We start from the raw sequence: 25690 nt of genomic DNA, 5'->3' as shown, positions 1-25690 counted from the left end.
GTGAATATTTAAAACTAAACTAAACTAAAAAACTCAGTTTTTTTCAGTCACACTAGCCACATTTCAAGTGCTCAATGGTCACATGTGGCTAGGGGCTACTATATTGCACGGTCTGCAAGATAGTTGGAAAGCTTTGGTCTTATTCAACTATATTATTTTTTATTTTTGTTTACTGAGTTGTAAGGCAAATTTCAATGGGCTAGCACAGACATGGAATATTTTCATCATTGAAGAAAGTTATTCTGGGCTGTGCCAGTCTAGAAAGTTTTCCAGTTTGAAGAGTAGCTTTGGAGAAGGTCACACTGGTGACCTCAAATCATAGAGTCAGAGATACCCTTCTTTAGTAATTCCTAGTATTTTCATTTCTGAGAACTTGTTTGTATTTTTCCTGTTAAAAAAGGTTCTGCCTTGCAAAGTTTTTATTAAATAATGGATGTCTTCTCCCACTTGTTCATTGCAGGCATGAACAATTGCAATGCCATCTATTAGGAAGTAGATATGATGTCATTGAGCTGACATGATAGTAGCCAAAATTTTTAAAAAATTTTATTATTTTTCAGTTTGGGTGGCCTTATCACATGTAAAGGTGTATTTTCCATTATAAGTCTTGATCCTTACTGCCTTTCCTCTTTCTAGTTCTTCAACACAGGCTGATCATGCACTGTGACCCAAAAGGTGAACTCCCACTGTTGCTTGCAGACATCTCTTTGGCTGGTTCCCTTCTTGCTGTGTCACATCTTTTCTTGCTCTGATCTGATTTCTGTATCAGTCCTCTCCAAAATGGAGTGCTTTTTACTCTAGGAGTTATGCAGTATTAGAAGCTTTGTATTTATTTCTCTTTTTGGTTAACATGTCCTTCTTTTGTGCAAATTGCATGATGTGTATCATTTACAAACATAGTTCTATACATATGCAATTTGCAGACCATGCAGTTATATATTGCACTAAAGGCATTGTAATGGGGTGCACAATCAAATAACATTGGGAGCCTGCTGCTCATAGTTTTGTCTTGGTACAGGAACCCTGGCTTCTATTCTGCCTCTGCTCTTCTGGTCTTAGCACTTGCATTTTTGCCTTTTCCTAAGCAATGCTAACTCTTTGCCCTACCTGTAGCCCTGTGGACTCCAGTTCTAGGCAACAGCCTCTTGACCATCATCTTGAGAAAACAGCTGTAACAGTCCCACTTCTTTTATTTAACAGAGGAGTCTTGGACACCCTTTATGACTTGTGCAAGCCTTGGCAGCCCAAGGATTCTAGGCTGGAAAGCTTTGGTCTTATTCAACTATATTATTTTTTATTTCTGTTTACTGAGTTGTAAGGCAAATTTCAAAGTTTATTAAAAGATGTAAAGAGCCAACTGAATATTGCAGAAAAGGTAACCCATAATTTTAATCTTTGTCCAGTCTGTCACGGATTCCTTTGTCTAGTCTACTCTTAACTTCCAGAATGTTGCACACTATGTACAAAGGATGCCATTTTGCCAAGTCTCTGTTCTTGGTCTCACTCTTGAACCACTCACCAGGAGCTATTCCTGGGACCTCCTGGCTTCGTTTTCGTTTCTTTTTCTTGCCTATTTGCTTTTGCAAGGTCTTGTCTTTCTGAGTCTGAATTGGGTTTCTCTTGACAAGGATGTGGTTCTGCTGCTGGGCCCACTGAGTTAAGCTGCTTGGGAATGTCTTTTTTTTGGGAATGAATTATCCAGATCTTCATATGCCTTTACCTAGTGGCCATTATTCTCACCACATTTATTCAATTCCTTCAGGTGCTGTCCAATATTTTCTTTAGCCTCTTACCTTCATTTTCATTAGATTTTTTCAGGATCAGTTAATTTCTGAGCTGGAAGAGACCTCAGAACTCATCTAGCCCAACGCTTTCATTTTCTAAAAGCATGAACTAAAGGGAGATGACTTACTCTGTGTTGTACAGTTAATTAAAACAGAGCTAACCTTGGGCTCTAGCTTTCCTGATTTGTCTCTGGTTGTCTTTTCATTTAACAAACTTCTCAAAATGTCATTGCTCACAAAAGGATTTCCTGGCCAAATACATTTAGGCAACAATGAGTTAACCAAATTTAAATAGGTTTCTATATTGCAAGAGTTCTTTGAGCCTTTAAGATAAGAGATTCATAATATGAAACTCTAAGGTGGGTGGAGGTATACTGTATTGAAACTTACTTGAATATAAAGTTGTATACTCACCCAGAGTTATGTACATGTAACGCTGTCATTTTTTCAAAGCAGAGGTCCTCGAATATTTTCATGGGTAATTAAATACTCTTAACTATATTTTTTCCTTTACTCACCAAGAATTCTTTTTAATAACAAGCTACTTGATTCTTAGGTCATCTTTACTCAATGAGGTCAAAGTACAAGGTGTTAAAAGAAGAGGCTCTCATTCATCTTCAACTTTTTTTCCCCTTAGGGCAATACATATAGGATTTTTGGCATTTTGCTTTGTGTTTAAGTTGGGTTCCTATTTATTAAACCTTTTGATTAGGTTTATAAATGTCAAGGTTAAATGAAGGGGAAATCAAACAGTGCTAGGAAAGCCAAGAGGCAAATGCTCATAGTTAATCCATGTCTATTCTTGGGCATTTAGCTTTTCTCAGCCATTAGCATTCAGACCCTGTTATTAGCAGATAGACACCCAATCACCCCATGTGCATTATCCAAATTAGATGTATTGATTAAAGATACGAATTATGTGATATGTGTTGATATATCAAAATAAGATGATTTTAGCTTGACAGGAGAGTATTACTTTGCTCTCTCTCTGTGTGTGTGTCTATGTGTGTGTGTGTGAGAGGGAGAGAGAGAGACAGAGAGAGGGAGGCAAAAGTGGTGTGGTAAGTTAATATCTGTTTTGCAATTTTGAAAAAAGCACTCTGACAAAAATCTATTTTCCCCTATGTGTTATGGTATGACTTAGGAAATTAAAAAAATTAATGTGACTATAGTGTGAAATTCTTGTGAGTGTGAAATCAGTTAAGAAATCAAATAAATTAAACAATAGCCATGTGAGATGTAGTGTGCTGGTGAGTATTACACCTCCTCAATTTCTGTGTCACTTGTAATAAAAAGTATGATTCTAGCAGGAACTACGTCACTTGAATGAACAATCTCATTTAGTGAATAGTTGTCTTTAATGATAAACTGTTTATCACTACACACACACACACTCATATGAGTGGTCACTGGGCAGAGGAAGGAGTTAGTTATAAGGGGCTTTTTAAGATAGCCAAATTAGTTTTAATTTTTTATAAAAGTCATAAAACAGAATAGAAGAAGTGCAAGATTATCTTCTTTTAGAAGAACATTAAAGTGATAGTGAATAATTATACTAAATGTTTGAATGTAGCTATTGCATCCTTCCCCCTTAATCTCTTAGACTATATCCTCCAGGCTTCTAAGCTAAGGCTGAATAATAATAGCTCAGACATTATTGGATATTCACCTTGTGCATTAAGAAGCAAGAGTTACCTTCTAGGATCCTTGCAACCTTTTATTTTTAATTACATGCCACAGAAGAGATTAGCAAAGTCCTCAGACAACTAGCCCTTACATTTGCTGTTATTTCCTCTACAGAAAAATATGCATATGTAATAATTCAGGTTTTTTTTAAATCTTTTGACCTTATTTCATCGAACCTAGAACACCATGGATTATAAGATACACCATTGTTTATGTACTACTAAGAAAGAAAGATGTTTCTGCTTAAACTATGACATGCCATTATTCATAAGATTGAGATGTTAAAATTTGAAGAAATGTGTTGTAATCAGTGAAATACAGATATATAATTTTGAGCCCATGTAAAAGGTTGTGTTTTCCCTAGTAAATGCTATTTACTAGTTGTCTTGGCACCCTGACATCATGGCTGGTGATATGTGCAAGAAGGTTTAATATTTTTGGTGATTATCTGTGTATTTGGATCTTTTATAATTATTTAACTTCTCATCTATTTAAGATTATCTCCTAATTGGGTTGTAAGATACTTTTTATCAGGCCTTCCAATTTAGCCCATAGTAGTGACCCTTGCAAACAGCAGATATCAACAGGCCTTCCAGTTACACATTTGTTCATTCATTCAGCAAATGAATGTGCATATTGAACACCTACTATGTTCCAGGCAGAGGGAAGCTGGAAAACATGGCACAGGCTCTCCTTTCGGGGATCTCACTTGACAATGGGAGAGGGAAAAAAGTCATTGCAACACAGAATGAGAAGTGACAAGACAGTGATTCTGGGGTGCGTGGGAACACATAGAAGCCTGCTTAACTGAGACTTGGGTCACGGAAAACTTTCTGGGGGCTGTGAGGTGTGCAATTATGGAAGGGGATATGAATTAGAGATGTAAGAGGGAAACAGACCATGAAGACCTTAGTTTTTTAGTTTAATAATTTACTCAGTCATTTATCTTATTAATTAGTCAATCAGCAAGCATTTATCCTTTTTTACATAGGAGAAAAATAATCATGGTAGTACATGCTCTTGTAGGGTCACACTGTTCCAAGTGCTTTGGATAAATCAAGCCATTTTAATATTTACAGTAACCCATCAGGTGAGGATTATCATCCCATCTTTCAGATAGGAGAACTGAGGCAGAGTGGTTAGTAAGTTGCCTGAAATCCTACAGCTGCTAAGTGGGATTGAAACCCACACATTCTGTCTCTACAACCATCCCACTTAATATCACTCTGCAATTCTTTCCCATGATAAGTGACAGCTCCAACACTTACCATAGCTGTGCCTCTTGTTACTTTCTGGGTGTGATGAGATGGCTAGGATTCTCTCTTCTTACTGCAATGGGAATGCTCACAAGAGATGAAGGCTTATGGAAGCTGCTTGAAAATGAAAGTAGCCTGCTTTTCAATAAAGACATGGAGATACTCATACTAGCCCACGAGCTGCCCCCAACACTGGCCTTTGTGGCTAAAGGGCTGTATATATCTTGGAGCCGCCTGCTTTTTGATCTTGACTTCAATAAAATGAACTTTCATTGACCCTAGCATGTTCCAATAGGTTTGAATAGGAAATGGACTTGAGAGGGGAGGATCCTGTATCTAATTTACAAAGGCACATGATTTTCCCTGGTGACATTTTCCTCTGTGAGGTATTATTTGATCTTTCCTTTTTACTAAGGAAGGGTGCCAGCCATCCACTCTTTTCTTCATTCCTGTTTTTAGACTTCCTATCTACTGAAAAACGTTTGGAAAAATGCTAATCTCTTAGGTTAGCTGAGATATTCATGACTTTCAAATACCTTGGCATCATTATTGAAAATAAATATGAAAAATAACAATATGGGTTAATTTTTAGTTTTGTAGGTATAAGAAATATATTTCCTTTTTCTATCATTATTTGATCTTTTCTTTTTACTAAGGAAGGGTGCTAGCCATCCAGTCTTTTCTTCATTCCTGTTTTTTAGACTTTCTATCTACTGAAAAACGTTTGGAAGAAAGCTAATCTCTTTTAGGTTAGCTGAGATATTCATGACTTTCAAATACCTTGGCATCATTATTGAACATAAATATGAAAAATAACAATATAGGTGAATTTTTAGCTTTATAGGTGAAAAAAATATATTTCCTTTTTTATCATTTCAACATTATGACAAAGATAAGGAAAGGCACCTGAATCTTGTCCAGCAGCCCTCAGGGGTGATCTCAGGTAGATTTGGAAGGTGGAGACCTTTACATAGGATTTGTCACATTAGAAAATGAGTGTTGAGTGCAAATTAAAAAAAAAATTTTAAATTGACCTCATTAAAATTTGTTTTCATCTTCCTTTGCTAACTTTATTTTGTATATGTTTTCAACTTCATTGACTTTGCTGCCTTTCCTTCTCAGAGGCTGAGCTGGTAGTGAGTACTATATATTCTCGGTGTGTCCTAAGATTCTCTGATATAATATAAACTGCACTTCTAAGAGAATTTTTTTTTTTTTTTTTTGAGATGGAGTTTCGCTCTTGTTGCCCAGGCTGGAGTGCAGTGGCACGATCTTGGTCTAAGAGAAATGATTTTTGACACACCAGAGTGCAGAGGTTCCTTTTAAAAAATTGACTAAACATGCATTCATTTTAAAAGTGACTATCTTTTTCTTTGGAGGTAAAATATAACTTACATTTCTCAATGTGTTTTATGGATAAGATTGCTGATTGGACTTCATCTTAGGTTCCTGAAGTCCTGATTACCGACACAGAGCTCAGGGATAAGGAAGAGAAGCACAGAAACCGTGTAATCTAGCCAGTTTGCTGCTGAGGTTTGAGAGCTAGTTCTTAAAGTTTGGGCATCTTTGCTGCCATTAGCAAAAGGAGATTGGCTGCTCCAATCCCATTCCAGGAGTGCCTATTAACCCTGGTAAAACACATTTAATTGAGAAGCCATTAGGCTGAGGCACCTCTAGTGCTTCTGGTTTCTGGGTAAGCAAACCCAAAGCCCAGTGTTAGCAGTAAAACTAAATTTAAGCTTAACCAGTTAGAAACCACTAACTAAACTCTAGCTAGAGTCTTCAACAATGAGAAAATGCCAACTAATCTCTATGTAGGGACTTTCCACTTTAACTGATCAAATATATTTTCTTTGTCAGGCTTCCTTGAACACCTTCTAAAAGTTTCTCTCTCACTCTTCCCCTCTCCTTCGGAGCACTGAACCACTTGGGGTCTGGAGCTGCCCAATTTATGAATTGCTGAATGCTCAAATAAACTCATTAAAAATTTTTTTTTTTTGAGACGGAGTTTTGCTCTTGTTGCCCAGGCTGGGGTGCAATGGTGCAATCTCGGCTCACTGCAACCTCCACCTCCTGGGTTCAAACAATTCCCCTGCCTCAGCTTCCCATGTAGCTGGGATTACAGGCATGTGCCACCATGCCTGGCTAACTTTTTTTTTTTTTTTAGTAGAGACGGGGTTTCTCCATGTTGGTCAGGCTGATCTTGAACTCCCAACCTCAGGTGATCCGCCTGCCTTGGCCTCCCAAAGTGCTGGGATTATAGGCGTGAGCCACCGCACCTGGCCAAACTGATTAAAATTTTATTGTGCCTAAGTTTATCTTTTATTTTTTTTTAACTTTTATCTTAGGTTCAGGGGTACACATGCAGGTTTGTTATAGAGGTAAATTGCATGTCATGGGGGTTTGGTGTACAGATTATTTTGTCACTCAGGTAATAAGCATAGTACCCAATAGATAGTGTTTTGGCCCTCTCTCTAAGTTTATCTTTTAAGGTTTCTGAGCACATGGAATGAATGGAGCCTGAAAATTACATTCAGAACTCCATAGCTAGAGGTCTTAGTTCAGCCTGCCACTGACTGTGTGACCTTGGATATGTCACACAACCTTGCTCAGCATCAGTTTTCTCATCTAAAACATGAGGTTGGCAGTGGTGGCTGACACACCTTAAAGTGACTCCCAGTGAGTCACAAACCTGCATAATTCCCTCTGCTTAAATGTGGAAGGAGCCTGTGAATTGCTTCTAACCAACAGAATCTGGCAAAGATGACTGTAGAGGTTACAGTGTAGAAGACTGTTTCTTAGCAGCTTGAAAAGAGATGGCTGTCCTTACTGGCTTTGAAGAAGTAAACTGCTGTGTTATGAGAGTCCTGTGGAGAGGGCCACATGGCAAGGACCTGAGGGCAGGCCCTAGGAGCTGAGAGCAGCCCATCCAACAGCTGTCAGGAAAACAGAGGCCACACTCGTAGAGCCCCAGGTAAATGAATTCTGCCAACAACCTGAATGAACTTGGAGGCGGATTCTTCCCCGGCTGAGCCTCCAGATGAAAAGGTAGCTTGACTTCCACCTCAATTTCAGTCTTATGAGACTCTGAACTAAACTAGGCCTGGAATCCTGACCCATGGAAGCTATGAGATGGTAAATGTGTGGGTTTTTGGTAATTAAATTAAAAAATTAATTGTGGTTGTATTAGTCTGTTCTCAAGCTGCTAATAAAGACATACCTGAGACTGGGTAATTTATAAAGAAGAGAGGTTTAATTGACTCACAGTTCCACATGACTGGGGAGGCTTCACAAGCATGGTGGAAGGTGAATGAGGAGCAAAGTCACATCTAACATGGTGGCAGGCAAGAAAAGTGTGTGCAGGATAACTCCCCTTTATAAAACCATCAGATCTCCTGAGACTTATCACTATCACGAGAACAGCATGGGAAAGGCCCACCCCCATGACTCAATTACCTCCCACTGGGTCCCTCCCACATGTGGGAATTGTGGGAATTACAATTCAAGATGAGATTTGGGTGGGGACACAGCCAAACCATATCAGTGGTAAACACACATAATTTTAAAATTACTATCTTAATTATTTTTAAGTGTACTGTTCAATAGTGTTAAATATTGCACATTTCTGGGCAACCAATCTCTGGAACATTTTTATCTTTCCAAACTGAAGCTTTGTACCCATTAAACAACTTCCCATTGTCCCTCCCCATCACTGCTGGCCACCACCATCCTGCTTTCTGTTCCTATGAACTTGACTAACTTGAGGTGCTTCATAAAAGTGGAATCATAAGGTATTTGTCTGTGACTGGCTTATTTCACTGAGCATAATGTCTTCAAGATTCATCCAAGCTGTAGCATGCGTCATAATTTCTTTCCTTTTTAGGACTGAATAACATTCCATTGACTGTATATAGACCACATTTGGTTTGCCCATTCATCCATCTTTGGACATTTGGGTTGCTTCCATCTCTTGGCTCTTTTGAGTAAATGTGTCTTTTTAAGCCTCTAAGTTTTGTGGTAATTTGCTATTTATCAATAGAAAACTAATACAACAATAATACCACACAGGGATATGGTAAACATTAAGAAACAAGCTTTACGAACTCTAGAGTATAATTTTATAGTAAAGTCACATCATCTACACATTTAACTCAATAAAATGTAACCCTAGGGGTCAAGAAAAAAATAAAAAAATAAAAAAGTGTGAGCAATCATGCCAGTCATTCCATGCAATGAACTGACACCCTGGAGAAAGCCTGAAAAAGGAGTTGTGAATCTGTGTCCTCAGGTGCCCCAGCACTTCTAGTTGAGTTAGGTTCTAGTGTTTCTGAAAGTATTGGTTTTTCAGGCTGCATGACAAATTATCACACATTTAGCAGATGAAAACATAATTTTTATCTCCCAGTATCTATGGGTCAGGAACCCAGGCGGGACTGAGCTGGGTTCTCTAATCCAGGGTCTCATGAAACTGCAATTGAGATGTCAGCTGGGCTACATTCTCTTCCAGTGGCTGAGCCAGAGAGGAATCTTCCAAATTCACTCATGTTGTTGGCAGTGCTCATTTCTTTGTGGTTGCAGGACTGGGAACTCCAGCTTTTTGCTGGCTGTTGGCTGGAGGCTGCTGTCAGCATCTAGAGTCTCCCACAGTTCACAGCTTGGGAGCTGTTTCTCCCAGGCTGGCAGGAGAGTGAATTTGTAGAGCAAGTCTGCCTGCAAGATGGGGTCTCATATGATATGACAATCATATTATGTTTACCATATTGTACCCTTTGGAAGCAAGTCACAGGTCCCACCTACCTCCAAGGGGAGATTACACAAGGACTCCACCACCAGGAGCTAGGGATCACTGGGGTCACCTACAGTCTGTTTGCTGCACTAGGTTAAGTTCAGGTGGGGCCTTAAAGCGGCTCAGTGCTTCTTCAGCTTTCCTTATACACAAAAATTACCTGCGGATTTTTTTTTTTTTTTTAAAGACAGATCTTGAGTCTGCTCCAAACCCTCAGAATAATTCCTCCTGGAAGGTGGAGTCCAGGCAGCTGTAGTTTAAAAAGAAAATTCCATGGTGATTTGGATGTATAGCCATGATTGAAAACTACTGATCTAGTCCAAATCCCGTCTTAAAGACAGGGTCTCACTCTGTTGCCCAGGCTGTTGTGTAGTGGTCCAATCATGGCTCACTGCAGTCTTGACCTCCTGGGCTCAAGCAGTCCTTGCATATCAGCCTCTTGACTAGTTGGGACTTCAGGTCTACACCACTACCTGGAGAATATTTTGTTTTTTAGTGGAGATGGGGGCTATATTGCCCAGGCTGGTCTCCAATTCCTGGTCTTAAGCAAGCCTCCTGCTTTGGCGTCCCAAAGCACTGGGATTACAGGCATGAGCCACTGCATCCAGCCAAATCTCTCCTTTTAGACATGAGACACTTGGGCTTGGAGTGGGAAAAATGACTAACCCAAGATCATATTAGAGGCAGAGCTAAGACTAGAACTCAAGGATTCCTAAACTTCATTTTGTGCTTTTTCTGTTGCACTATGCTTTCTTCCTAATTTGGAATTTGCTGACAAAGTTTTACTTCTTTGCAAGCTTGTACGAAGGGCACTTCAATAGTAAAAAACTTTTCTCAGTGGTGTGCTGGAGCTGACTTGCACTGGCTCCTGAGAGCTGACTGTGGGCAACACTTCCCATCGCCTCATTTTAGTGACTTCACACTGGGAGCTCAAAACTGGCCATGGTGGAAATATTTACACCATGGAAATTGGCAAATGCTATATATCAGGCCTTCCATGGATAATCCTTCCTGGAGAGCTGGTAAACCTTCACCAGCACATCACTGTTTATTTTAATTTGAAATATGCAGGGATGTATTCTTACAATAAATATCATAAAATTGTGTTTACTCTTGGCCACATAGCAAATAGAGATAAGTAAGTTAAAAGTGTGAGCAATAATAGAGTGTGATGTCTTCCTTCTTATCTTGACACAATATTAATGCTTAATGAATGTTTGGTGGGTGACAGAGTGAACCATTTGGAGTTCATTCTCCAGGTTTTCTTGTTTCCAAAGTTAGTGTGGACTGGTTGTGTTCACCATGCAGGTTGTTAATTTATCCTCAGAATAGAGCTCGCCTTCCATTTTCTTTCCTTTTTCAGTCAGGGTTTCTTGCCCTGGGGGTCTCTATTGCTGCTGGATCCGTAAGATATGACGTTGATTGAATTCTCTGTGCATTCCCACATGCCAGATTGCCAAAAGAGGCTTGTGGGATCCTTTACCTGATTATCTGGGCAGATTCTTTGGGATATCAGGCGGGAGAAACCAGAATGGTGTTTACAGAAAACAAAATCTTCTGTTGTGTTCACAGAGTGAATTTTTCTACCTGCTTCTGCCCTGAGGGGACCTTGAGGAAGTGTTTCTGCCAGTTCTGTTTCATGGCTATGAGGTGTCACTTTGAGCTTTGATTTCATGGGAATCTCAGGGGCTGGAATCCCCACGATTTCACGAGAATCTCAGAGGCTGGAATCCCCACGATGGAGTAGAAAGCTAGGCTGTCCCTGAAAACAGTTCTGAAGAATTTCCCCTTGATGTGAGGCGCCTGCTTATTCTGTAGCCTGCTAGCGCTTTTGACTCCAAATTGTGAACCACGAACTTCGAACTTCGTATGGATCCTTCTCCTTCCCTCCTCCTACTTATTGATCTTCAACTACTGAGCCATTCTTTCTTTGTCTTTGAGGGAAGTCAGTATGAAGAAAGTGGCAGCATGGTTTAACAGAAAAAAAGACAAAAATACCCACGGATTTGAGGTTGGAGGGACCCGCATGGCTCCACCACTCACAAGCTGTGTGACCCCAGGGCCAGTTGCTCTCTGAGCCTTGGTCTTGTAAAATGGAGCCAATAATACTGTTCTTCAAGGTTGTTTTTGTTGGGAGGATTAAGTGAAAATTACAATAAAATGATGGCCAAATGCCTGGCACACAGCAAGTACTCAACAAATGATAGTTCTCTCTAGTGAGTGTTCCCTGTAATAGCACTACTAAATATTTATAGGATATTTCCAATTTTATGAATATTCACTGTATTCAGCATTTTACATGCATTTACTTCATTTTATCTTCATGGCAACCTTCTGTGTTTAGGAGACCAAATTTCATTTCCTCAATGACATTTTTCTTGAAATTTTTTTCTAAGATTATCCCACTAAATGCCCTAGTATATTTTCTTTGGAGCACTTACCATTGTCTGGAGTTATATTATGTAACTACTACATATTCATTTTCTGTCTCTATCTGTTAAAATATTAGTTCAAATGAGGAAATAAACTTTTTTGTTTGTTTGTTTTGAGATGGGGTCTTGCTTTATTGCCTAGGCTGCAGTGCAGTGGCGCAATCTCAGCTCACTGCAACCTCCGCATCCCAGGTTCAAGTGATCCTCCTGCCTCAGCCTCAGCTGGGACTACAGGTGTGTGCCACCATGCCCAGCTAATTTTTGTATTTTTAGTAGAGCTGGGGTTTCATCATGTTGGCCAGGCTGGTCTTGAACTCCTGACCTCAGGTGATCCGCCTGCCTCTGGCTCCCAAAGTGCTGGGATTACAGGCGTGAGCCACCAGGCCCGGCCGAAGAAACTTTTGATCTCGATTGCACCTCAGATGCTAAAATCACTGCTTGGCATGTAATAGATAATCAATAAATTATTTTGAATAAATGAAGTAAATATTATTACTTTATTCATTTTTCCCCATGAGGAAACACAAGCTTAGATATATTAAGTGAGTGATTATAGAGCTAGTAAGAGGTGGAAAAAGGCTGGATTGGAATTTAGGTTGTGGAACTCTGCAATCCATGTGTTTAATTACCATCCTACCCAGGCTTCTCTTCCATGAGTGAAGTTTTTACAGAGAGTCACTGTATTTCTCAAAGTCTATGTTAAGCTACATTATGGGGTCAGCACTGTATTGAAGGATATGAGATTTAGGAAAGAAGTTTAAAACAAAAATCTTCATTTTAAAGGATCTTACCCTCTAACTGGGAAAATTAGGTGTACATCATGAAACAGAGAGTAACAGAAAAATTCTCTTGGTTAACAGTGCTCAAAAGTTGAAAAGGAAAGTATATGGTTGTAATTTTTCAGAGATGTGGCAATAATAGACACCAAAGCTAGAGTTTTTTTTTGTTTGTTTCCAAGTCCTCTTCAATTGATTTGTTTACCTATCCAACAGACATTAAATGTCTACTAATTGGCAGGCACTACACTTGTTATGCAGTTTGCATATACAGAGGAATACCTGAGGGTCCTCCACACTCAAGGAGCTCATGGTTCATGGGAAAAGCAGATATATACAGAATTAATTATGCTGCAATATGTTAGACATAATCATAAAGAGTTTTATAGGGCATCAGGCACACCACAGGTAGAGGGGGGAGAAGGTGTGGGACTAGTAGCCAGGGACCAGCTGATGAAGGGCCATTTTGGCTACATTACAGAGCTTGGTCTTTGTTTTCTAGGTTGGTGATGCTCAAGAGGTGGTGATTTTGACCCCCCTAGGGAACATCTGGCAATGTCTGGAGACATTTTTGATTGTCACAACTTAGGGAGTATTACTGGCATCTAGTGGGTGGAGGCCAGGGGTGTGGCTAAACATCTTACAAGGCAAAAATAGCCACAACAAAGAATTTTCTGCCTCCAAATGTCATAGTATTGAGGTTGAGAAATTCCGCTCTCAGGAAGGGAGCTGGGTTATTGCAGGGCTGTAAGCAAGTGAGTGGTATAGAAGGATAGACTTCTGCAGTAGCACAAAGTGAGAACTGATGAGTATCTAGGCTAGAACCTTTGTAGTGGGATGGAGGATAATTGCTGGAGCTGAGGACTTAGTGACTATTTGGATGTGAGTGGGAAAAGAGAGGGAGTGGTCAAGTTTCTGCCTTGTATGATGGGGCATCTGGTGCAGCCATTACCTGAGGTCCACCCAAGAGGAATAAGAGATATTGGCAGAAATAGATGAGATCAAGTCAAGCAAGCTGGTTTGAGCTGGCCATGGGTTATTCAGGTAGAGACATTCAGTAGGCATTTGTCTAAGTGTCTCTGAAGCTTAGAGAAACATAATTTTAGAGTCATCAGTTAGAGTAGTGGATGAAAACTAGAAGAGAATATTAGTTTATCCAGGGAGAATGGAAATAGCAGTGAATTTAGAATTTTGCCCTCAGAAATACAGAGACAGGGCAGATGGAGAGAGAACTGTTGAAAGATACCAAGGAGTAATACTCTGAGAAGTAAGAGGTTAGGAAGAAAGTGGTGTCAGGGAAGCCAAGAAAAGAGAGGGTTGCATGAAGAAATAAATCCTCAGCTGATTGGAATCCTCAATCCAATGTTGCTGCAGTCCCTAAGAGAAGGATTGAAAGCACACATTTCAGTGGGTTGAGGAGTGAATAGAAAAGGCAAAAGTGCAGATAAGAGAGTGTAGATTATTATTTCTAAAAGTTTGACTGAGGCGGGGAGAAGAGGGAGGGAAGTGGGGCTAAAGGGTGTTGCAGAAAACTCACAGGAATTTGGTCATGCCCAACTCCCTGGTCCTTTTTAATTAATAACAGTAACCAACAAAATATTGGGGGTGTTTGAGGGTGACAACTGTTCTCTTATAATCTCATTGCCAGGTTATAATGAAAACAAGTCTCAGGCCAAATTCTGACACACATACGTACATGTATTCACGTATACATTATTTAGCGGGCAAACAATACATTCAAATGTTCCAAAAGCATCACAAATTCCCAACTTTCTGACCTTTCTGGGGATCTGATCTTCACTTTGATGGCACGTTCATTTGAGGCTGACTCAGTAAGTATTCTAGAGATACATTGCCATCTCATTGTTACCAGGCAACCAAATGGCCGGACACTGTTAGAAATCAGATCTCGTGTACCATTTCTAAAATTTGGGTTTTATTTTTTTAAATAATCTTATACGCTCTTCAAGCATGGACAGTGTACTGGGTTGAATAGTGTCTCCTCCTCCTAACACCTCACCAAAATTCACATCTACCCAGAACCTCAGAATGTGACCTTATTTGGAAATAGGTTTTGCAGAAGTAATTATATAAGATAAGGTTATATTTGATTAGGGTGAGACATAAACACAATGACTGGTATCCTTATAAGAAGACCGCATAAAGACAGACACGAGAGAAGGCATGTAAAGACAGAGGTGGAGATTGGGATGATTCAGCTATATGCCAACGAACACGAATTGCCAGGAACTACCAGACACTAGGAAGAAGTTAGGGAGTCTTATCAATTGCCTTCAGAGGGAGCATAGCTCTGTCAACACCTTGATTTCAGGCTTCTAGCCTCCAGAACCGTGAAAGAGTAAGTTTCTGCTGGTTTAAGCCACCCAAAGTACCAATTTGTGATATTTTGTTATGGCAACCCTAGGAAACTAAGATGGCTGAAAAGTGTAAGGCAACTCACGTCTTCTTGAATACCATAAATTTCACTGGTGAGAGACCATTTCTAATATCCATGATGCTAATTAAACCACTATTTTTTACCAGTTAAAGCTCATTTCTGACCCTTATTATGTTAATTATCAAAGCTTCTGGTGTTATCTGAGTGCTTTGGTTTGAATGCATGTATCCTTCCTAAATTTACATGTTGGCACTTACACCCCAAGTTGATGGTATTAAGAGGTGTGGGGTCTTTAGCAGGTGATTAGATCATGATGGCTGTGCCCTCGTGAATGGGATTAGTTCCACTAAAAAGGAGATTGAAGGGTGCTAGCTAGCTCCTTGTTTGCCCTTCCACTATGCTGTTCATGACATTTATCCCTTCTGCCATGTGAGGATGCGATGTAGCAACAAGGTACCATATTGGAAGCACAGAGCAGGCCCTCACCAGACATCCAACCTGCTGGCACCTTGGTTTTGGACTTCCCAGCCTCCAGAACTGTGAGAAATAAATTTCTATTGTTTAACAATTACTCAGTCTCAGGTGTTTTGTTACGGCAGCACAAATGGACTGATATGTTGAGATAGGAATAACAGAAGGGCTTGTAGTAACTTCCCCAGAAGTGTGAGCCCTAGAGTGCAACTTAGCTGAACACATGCGTGTGTTACACTTTTTATGCTGGAGTATTTTAAATTACAGACACCACTGGTAAGGGAGATTCATATTTTAGAATGGGAAAGACGTAGACTTAGGGAGAAAATTCAGGGGAGAGGAATGCTTGGAAAGTACAGAAGAAACAGGCAGCAGTAACTGATATTCATTGATAAACCTTTTCAATCAGTGTAGTGGTCAGGAGCATCTTAATGTGTCTTTCTGTTTTTACTTTTTCTAGAAAATCATTTTTCTTTTTCCTTTTTAGTAGACTATGGCTTTTAAAAAAAAAAAACTGTAGCTACAATTAATATAATATATAGGGTTGCCTACTTATCCCAGTGTGCCTGGATCTTTTCTGGCTTTGGCAGTAAAAGTTCGGTATTCCTGGAAGCCCCCTAGTCCTGGGAAAACCAGGACAGTTGATCACTGTTTCTATAATTGCTCAAACAGAATTTCGTGCTCCTTTTTCTTTCCTACTAAACATATTTTTCAACTAATTAGTAAGATCTTGTTAGTTCCTGTCTCCTGTGCCAGGGCAGTTCAGCTGTGCTGGGCCTCAGGGAAGAGTGGGGAGAAAGTGAGAGGGTCACCACCTGTGGACACTCTGGCAACTGGACAGCCATGATTTTTGGCCTGTGGGTTTCTTCTGCTTGTGTAACTGCTGAGCTTTTGGAAATGCCATAGAGCACCAGCAGGAAGGGGCCATTTATTGGTTTCTTCAATTTGCTGAATTTCTCAAACTTAGGTTTAAGTTATAGAACATTGATTAGAAATTCTTACAATATATGTAATGTAGATAAATTGATCTGTAAACCTATATGTACAGAGTGAATATGAATACTTTTTGTGATAGAGTTTTGTTTTTTTCTTGGCATGCATCTCTATTGCCCCTAAGTATTTCAAGATCAGAGCGGTAACTCCTAACTTCTGTTGAACTCGGCTACCTGGAATGCAATTGACATCTAGGCAGTAGAACAGTTTCTGAGCAGTCAAAAGAGGGGGCATCAATTGTATACAGTAAATTTGTATAGTTTAAGTAATTAAAGAATGCTTTAGACCCTCACTCTTTGCCTACAGATTGTTGTTTTACACATAATTTAAAGACCTATGTTATCTTTTTTTTTCTTAAAGCTCTTCATAATTTAGAAATGGGCAGTGTGGATTCTACTGGAAGGCAGTCAAGAGAAGGGAGAGATGCCCACACACTCCAATTACATTAAAGAGAGAAAAAACAATGTCAGATGCAGTCACAGAATATACTATGGTTTGGGGTCATTTTGTGTAGGGGCCCTCAATGCCACACCCCCTGTTAAAGTCTTAGAGTACCATGGTGATAATAACGATGACACTTAGGATGATATAGTCACAAAGCTCTAATGAGGTGGAGATTCTAGACTTGAGAAGCTGAGGGCCAGATTCTGACAAGTTCACCTTGTGAGAGCTCTTGGAGGCAGCTAGCTGATCTTCCCCAGATGTTGTTTTTTTTTTTTTTTGCAAACTTCAGTGACACCTGCAATAGAACTGACTTGAGTATTGGAAGAGATAGAAGCAGAGCAGAAGCATGAGGTGAAACTAAATCTTTTCAGTAACTCAGCAGCGAGTATGATCTGCAGCAACTAAGCTGTAGAGAAGCCCCCCGCCTCCAAAAAAAAAAAAATCCTCAAAAAACCAAAAACAACCAAACGCAGCAGTGCAATACATTTGTGGGTTTTATGGCATTTGGAAATGGAATGCAGCATCATTATCAAACTCATTTAGGCAGGAGCAGCACATGTGACATGATTTGGCCAAGAATCCTAGGCAAACCACAAGAACAGTTTAGAAATATGGATTAAATTGCAGATCTTATTATGTGCAATAATTTTCCCAAAGCTTCAGTCCGATCCAATGCCACTCAATCAGGGGGTCAGAAGTTTTATGGGGTTGTAAAATGATGGGCAGAATTCCCACCTTTTGGGCATTTCTACCACTTTCTGATGACTGAGGCCTTACATATCTCCATGATTTTTCCACTTTCAATTTCTCCCTTGTAGCCGGGCACAGTGGCTCACACTTGTAATCCCAGGACTTTGTGAGGCCGAGGCAGGTGGATCACGAAGTCAGGAGATTGAGACCATCCTGGCCAACATGGTGGAACCTCATCTCTACTAAAATACAAAAAATTAGCCAGGTGTGGTGGCGTGCCTGTAGTCCCAACTACTTGGGAAGCTGAGGCAGGGAATCACTTGAACCCGGGAGGTGGAGGTTGCAGTGAGCCGAGATCGCACCACTGCACTCCAGCCTGGCAACAGAGCAAGACTCCCTCTCAAAAAAAAAAAAAAAAAAAAAAATTTCCCTTGCGATCTCTTGTCTTCTCTTTCCATCTGGGAAACACCTACTCAACAGTAGAACTTAGCTTCCATGCCTCTTCTTCTGAGCTTTTTCCCAGGCTGGCTTGTAATTTATCTGTTGATATATCTGTCCTTTCTCTTAGACCAGAGGCCAGTGTATTTTTTTTTTTTCTAAAAAGGGTCAGATAGTGAATATCTTAGGCTTTGTCATCCATATAGCCTCTGTCACACCTACAGAATTGTGCAGTTATAGCACATAAGCAGCCACAGACAATACATAAATATATGGATGTAGCTGTTTTTTAATAAAACTTTATGGACACTGGTTTGGATTTCACATAATTTTCATCTGTTACAAAACATTCTTTTGATTTATTTTTTGCCACTTAAAAATGTAAAAATCATTATTTGCTTGTAGGCTATACGGAAATAGGTAGCAGGCCAGATTTGGCTTGTGAGCTATCGTTGGCTAACTATATTAATTTTCTATTGCTGCAAAACAAAAATTACCACAAATGTAGCAGCCAAAAACAAAAGCATATATTTATTATCTCACAGTGTCTGTGGGTTAGGAGTGCAGGTATGGCTTCACTGGGTCCTCTGCTCAGAGTCTTGAAAGGCTATAATTTAGGTATTGGCCAGGCTTGTTTTAATCTGGGGACTTGATGAGGGAAGAATCTAATTCTAAGCTCATTTACATTTTTGGCAAACTCATTTCCTTATGTCTGTATAACTTCACGTCCTGACTTTTGGCTGACTACCAGCTGGAGGCTGCCTGCAGTTCCTTGCCATGTGGGCTTCCTCAGCATGGCATCTTACTTCATCAAGCCAACAAGATATCTTAAGCAACGTAACCCAATCCCAGAGAGTGATATCCCATCACCTTTGCCGTAAGGTATTGATTAGGAGCAGCTCACATTTCCTGCCTGCACTCAAGGAGAGGAAATTATACAAAGGCATGAATACCAGAAGGTGGAATCATGAAGAGTCACCTTAGGGTCTATCTATTACACCAAACTCTGAACTATATCAGATGATGAATTCTGGAGACAGGAACAATTGAAGAAGCATCTAGGAGCCATTTTGGTATCTTCAGCATTTACCAAAGGATCTGGTACAGAATGAGTTCTTAGTAAATGTTGTTTGAAAGACTAGGTGGATGGTTGCTTGTACCCACTCAAACAAAGCATAAAGTTATTGTAATTCTCCAGTAAAGTTGTCATCATATTGCTGATATTAATAGTTCTGATTCAAGGCTATTGATAACACTAAGACATATTTGTGGGAATACAACTTTAGGATAGATGGCAATAGATGGCAATTTCTCATGTGATATATAAGACATATTTGTGGGAATAGGATTTTAAGCAGAAGCCTAAATTTGACCTAAATTCTTTCTTGGATTTGGATTCATGGCTAGATCGAATTCATCAGGTATCAAGAGTGCTTTCCATGTGGGGGATAATGAATGACTTGAAATATGCTCCAGTCAATCAGCATAAAAACAAAATTGAAACAGGAGAATCCATTTTAAAGCTCTAACCAGGGTACCAGTATAGTGAAACATTTCCGGAAGCAATTTTCAAAGATGCGCAAATGTTGCTTTTTGGGTGTTTATTTCCCTGAATGAATATAGCCAAAAACAAGGTGAATTTTTATTTATATGAAGGGTACCAACTTTTAAGCAGTAATGGGAAGGAAGAGATAGCTAGAATGTGAATTCAGAAGGGCAAAATTAATGATACTGAAGTAGGTGTCTATGGAGTGAATATGACTGTGGGCAAAGTCGTCCGAACTGCCAGACTCCCCAAAGCCTCAGCTCCTGAGCATCTTCTGATTGAAACACATGGAGCCACAGTCATAACACCTGTTCCATCTGCCAATCTCCATCAAACACCTACATCTATTGCCATCGATTGCAATTTCTGTTGTGTTATCTATCTAATTACCTATCTATCTCTTCAACTTCTGCTTTATGGTTCACCTGATTATTTCCTTTCCCATTCAGAGATGGGATTGGGGTGAGAGTTCTCTTTTATGTGGTTTGTTTTGCATCCTGATTGCAACAGATGGTTTCTCTAAATGCACATCTGGTTATGGACTATAAAAGAACTCAAATTGGGCTCTGCTGATGTAAAGTGAGACTTTGTTTTCCTTTTTTGTTTGGGAAGTATCCTCTTTTATTGGGATTAAGAATAATATTCTTTCAATAACAGGTCATAAAAGCCAGAACCTGAATTTTTAGATTCAAATAGATCAATGGCCTTTTGTCAGCTTTGGGCTGCTGCCATCTTGCCAACTCCATCCTCAACATTATCTTCCCAACTCATGAAGGCAGAGTGTACAGCGTCCAGGAGAACAGGTCGGACATTTGAATTATAGCTTGGATTCTGACCTTGAACACTCAATTTCAATCAGCTTGTTTCCACATCTGTTCTTTAAGATAATCGAACTAGATCCTTTTCAAAGGCTCTTCAAACTCAAACACTAGCATTCAAGGATTATCAGAATTTATTAAAACAAATTGGTAAGTTCAGGGGATGTTTGGATTTGTTTTTGTTCATTTTGATAAATTATTTTTTCCTTAATAAAAAGCATGCACAACTAAAATTCTTTATTCATGAAATTCATACAGGAAAAATAACCTTTGCTATTATGTATATCTAGTTCTCCTTCTAGCCAAACACACCAAAGTGAATGTACTTTAAATGTGATTTTTGATAAAATGGTATTGCTTTGGAATCTCATTATTATACATAGTAGATCAGATTGTCCCACGTTAGACATTGGGGGTACAAAGATGAATAGGATGTGGACTCTGCCTCCTGAAGTCAATCTTCCACACTGTTGTCATGGATGTAGATGAAGCATGCGAGATGTTTCTTGTCACTCTCCTATTTGAACTTCAGTGTTGTCCTTGGTTTCATCCATTCAGTCAACAGATGTTTATTGAACATTTACTATATGCCAGATTTTGGGCTTAATTGGGGCTACACAGTGAATGAGGCAGATGAGGTACCTGCCTCCTTGGTTGGTGCTTACTTTTTTGGCAGGAGAATTCAGGTAATAAACAGTTAAACAACAATCAAACGATCTTTTCAGATTGTGATAAGTACTTGAAAGAAGCAGAGTGATATGTGAGGTAGTTAATCTTGGATGGTCTTATTTTGCAAATGTGATTAGGACATTCTCTCTGGGAGCTGACATTTGAACTGGCACATGAATGATGAGAGGTGGAGAAAGAGGGTACAATAGGAACATTGGGATGAAGGGCCTGAGGAGGGAAATATCCAGATATGTTCAAAAGGAAAACAAAAATAAAGCAATGGAAACCAGTTCCCAAAAGTTGTTAAGCAAGGAGGAGAGTAACATGAAGAAAGTCAGACAGGTGGGCAGGGGCTAGATCACGTAAGGGCTTATTGACTAAGGTAATTTTTTCCAATATTCAGAGGGAAGCCATTGTAAAGGTTTACATGGTTTCATGATATGACATGTCATGACTTATGTTCTAAGAGAATCATTCTTGCAGCTCTGAGGATAATCATTGTGTATATGTGCTGGTGGAGTCGGGACAGGGGAGGGGGTCAGGAAGAGCAATAAGGAGATGACTGAGGCAGAGCAGGTGACAGATTTTGATGACATGGATTTGGGTGGTGGAGGTGGACTGGCATGGATAGATTTGAGACATATTTTGCAAATGGAGATGGTAAGACTTGTTGATGGACTGGATGAGGGAGCTGAAGGAAAGGAAAAATAAGGAAAATTCTAAGTTGTTGGCTGGTGGAATGAGATCCTGGTGTTATTTATTGAGATGTGGAAGACTCAGGGTGAAGAATATTTAGAAGAGGAGGCAGAGTCAAATAATTCTGGGGGACATGATACTTTCGAGATGTGTTTAGCCAATTCGAATGAAGATGGGAAGTAGGATGTTGGATATATGGGGGGAGAAGACACATTTGGGACTTAGAGAACATGAATGGTAATTTTATTCATGGACTAGGTGATGATAATCTAAGAAGAACAAAGAAGATAAATAACAGAAGTGGGGAGTCTTGGATAGAGCTGAGGACACACCAGCATTTTTGGTAGCAAGTGACAGAAGCCAAGTCAAAGCAATTTAAGCACATAGGGAAGAAAGAAAATTTACTAGAAGGATTCTGGGGTATTTTTCTTTTCTTTTCTTTCTTTTTTTATTTTTTTGAGACGGAGTCTCACTCTGTTACCAGGCTGGAGTGCAGTGGCATGATCTCAGCTTACTGCAAACTCTGCCTCCAGGGTTCAGGATTCTCCTGCCTCAGTTTCCTAAGTAGCCGGGACTACAAGCGCATGCCACCACACCCAGCTAATTTTTTTGTATTTTTAGTAGAGACAGGGTTTCAACATGTTGGCCAGGATGGTCTCGATCTCCTGACCTTGTGATCCGCCTGCCTCGGCCTCCCAAAGTGCTGGGATTACAGGCGTGAGCCACCGCACCCGGCCCGATTCTGGGGTATTTCAAGCAACTTACGCAAGAACTGGAAAGAAATTCCCATGAACTCTAGGCATCCCTGTCTTCTTTCCAGCTGCTGCTTTGCTGGGTTCATTTGCTTTATTCTTCACATCCTGAGAGCAGCTTTTTCTTGCTTCTCTCTGTGCATGACATCACGTAGTTTTTACTTTTTCATCTCTATTCAGGAGGACAGCCTAGTCTGATTAGTATGTTCTCATACCAATTCCAGATTCACCAGAGAGGATCTGTTTGGTCCAGCGTGGGTCACGTGGGCACCATGGTCTGATAAACTATGCTCAGGAGAGTCATGGGATAGAAATATGGCTGCTGGGAGCTTAATCCTGCAGGTGAATCCTGCTTCTCAGAAAATGTGAGCTGGGCATTTACTGCCATCATCACATGGGCCACACCTTCTTGCCTGTCTCAGCTTTGCACACTTGTCAAATGCAGTTCTGATATCTCGGTCATACTCTGTGCTGATCCATGTTTCCATGCCTTTCCTTCGGTGGTTTCCTCTGCCAGAGATGCTGGGTCCATCTTTCTTTGCTTATATGTTTTAGTCTGTCCGGGCTGCCATAACAAAATGCCACAGACTGGGTGGCTTGAATAACAGACATCTATTTCTCACATTTCTGAATCCTGGAATTTCAAGATCAGGGAAGTAGCATAGTTAGTTTCTGGTAAGGGCCCTCTTTCCGGCTTGCAGATGGCCACCTTTCTGCTGTGGCCTCACATGGTAAAAGGAGACACAGAAAGCAAGCTCTCTCATATCTGTTTTTATAATGACACTAATCTTATCATGAGGGCCCTACCCTCATGACGTCATCTAAACCTGATTACTTCCCAAAGGCCCCATTTCCAAATACCATCACATTGTCAATTAGGGATTCAACATACGGATCTGGGGAAACACAATTCAGTCCATAACACCATCCAACTTTCCCATCCTTCGGGGTTCACTCCTTTCTGTTGTTTTCTCCAGGAAGTCTTTCCAGATTCTCCAGGGGCCTAAGCGCTCAGCTAGTGCCCTTTCACATTGAGAGCCACTGGGATACACATGGATGGGAGCATTTACCACGTTAGTTCAAACTACTTGTTTACAGCCTGCCTCTCCTCCAGGGCAGGGTCTGTGTTAAATTCGTTGCTGTATTCCTAGCTTCATGCAGTATGCTCTCAAAATATGCTGGATGAGCTCAAGTAACTACTGGTCAAGATGACAATACCTGTGAATAGACTGTAATACAGTCTGATTAGTGCAATGATAGAAGCAAGTTCAAGTTGCAGAGAGAAGTGATTATTAATTCCATCACCTAGGGAGAGGAAAGATACTTCCCCGGGGACTGAGGCTTCTGAGCTGAGTTTTGGAGGGTGTTTAGAAACTGGTTCATCAGACTGTGTGTGTGTGTGTGTGTGTGTGTGTGTAGGCATGTGTGTGGGGAAGGAAGAGGAGGTAAGGATGGGGTAACTATTCTAGCTTTTTGTATGGTATTGGGAACATAAAGAGGGATATGTCACAAGCTCTGCCTTTTGGAGGTGGATTTTATTTTATTTTTTATTTTTTTATTTGATTTATGTTTTTGAGATGGAGTCTCACTCTGTCGCCCAGGCTGGAGTACAATGGCGCAATCTCGGCTTACTGCAACCTCCATCTCCCAGGTTCAAGCCATTCTTCTGCCTCAGCCTCCTGAGTAGCTGGGATTACAGGCGCACACCATCATGCCCAGCTAATTTTTGTATTTTTAGTAGACACAGGGTTTCACCATGTTGGCCAGACTGGTCTCAAATTCCTGACCTCAGGTGATCCACCCGTCTCGGCCTCTTGAAGTGCTGAAATTAAGGTGTGAGCCACTGTGCCTGGCCTGGGAGATGCATTTTAATTGGGTGTAGACAGGAGTGAGCTGAATGAGAAAGCAGGACTGCCCAAGCTAAGTACAGAATTATTTGCTATTGGCTGATAAGAGAGTCAGTCAGTAATGTGACAGTGGTTTGTAACAGAGAAATAAATGTATCTGCACAATGATTAGTAGGAGGGATTATACAACTGCTTCCCCTATCTGCATAAAGAAGCCTAGAAAGGCCTAGCCAGAGAAAGGCATGGGCCAGCCAGAGAAGACTGAAAGAAACAGAATCTATGGACAGGAAGTGTCCATTCTTAGAACACATACTACATTTTGCCATTGGGTGCCATTCAGTCCTAGTACTTTATTTGTAAAATACTGGTGGTAATAACATCCTCACCATCCATCATTGTAATCAGGCTTATTATTTGCATCATAGATGATGTAAAGCACATTACAAATATTTTCTTACTTAATCCTCAAAGCAACTATATGCAGGAAATACCTAGGGAAAATTCTCATTTTCTATTTGAGGAAATTGAGGCTCCACTAAGGTTCAAAGACTTGGAATTCTCTTTCCTCACATTCCTGGTGGGCACCTGCTCGTCACTCAGGACTCTGCTTAAATGTGATTCCTCAGAGAAGCCTGTGCTCACCACTTAGTCTCAAGCAGTCCCCCTCTGGGATCTCTCATAGCAGCCTGTTCTTGGGCTTCATATTAGTTATGTATTATAATGTAACAAATTGCCCCCAAACTTGCTTAAAGCAACACATATTTGTTATTTCATAGTTTCTGTGGGTTAGGAGGTTGAACATGGCTTTTTGTGGTCCTCTACTCAGTCTCTCACAAGGTTATAATCAAGGTGTTGGCTGGGGTAAAGTCTTATCTGAAGGCTTGATAGGGGAAGGATCTGCTTCTGAGCTCTCATGCTTATTGGTGGGCTTCAGTTAATTGTGGGTTGTTGGACTAAGAACCTCAGTTCCTTGCTAGATGTTGGCCAGAGACTGCCCTCAATTTCTTGTCATGTGGATCTCTCCAACATGGCAGCTTGATTCATCAAAGATTGCAAGGCAGAATCTTCCGGCAAGGTACAATCACAATCTTAGGTAACCTAATCATGGAAATAACACGCCATAACCTTTGCCATATTCTGTTGGTAGAAGCAAGTAGCTAGGTTCAGCTCACACTTAAGCAGAGAAGATTACACAAAAGTGTGAATAC

This window comes from Homo sapiens, chromosome 4 (assembly GCF_000001405.40).
Source record: "Homo sapiens chromosome 4, GRCh38.p14 Primary Assembly".
Lineage (NCBI taxonomy): Eukaryota > Metazoa > Chordata > Mammalia > Primates > Hominidae > Homo > Homo sapiens.
The sequence above is the reverse complement of the archived record's forward strand: the minus strand, read 5'-3'. Positions refer to the sequence as shown.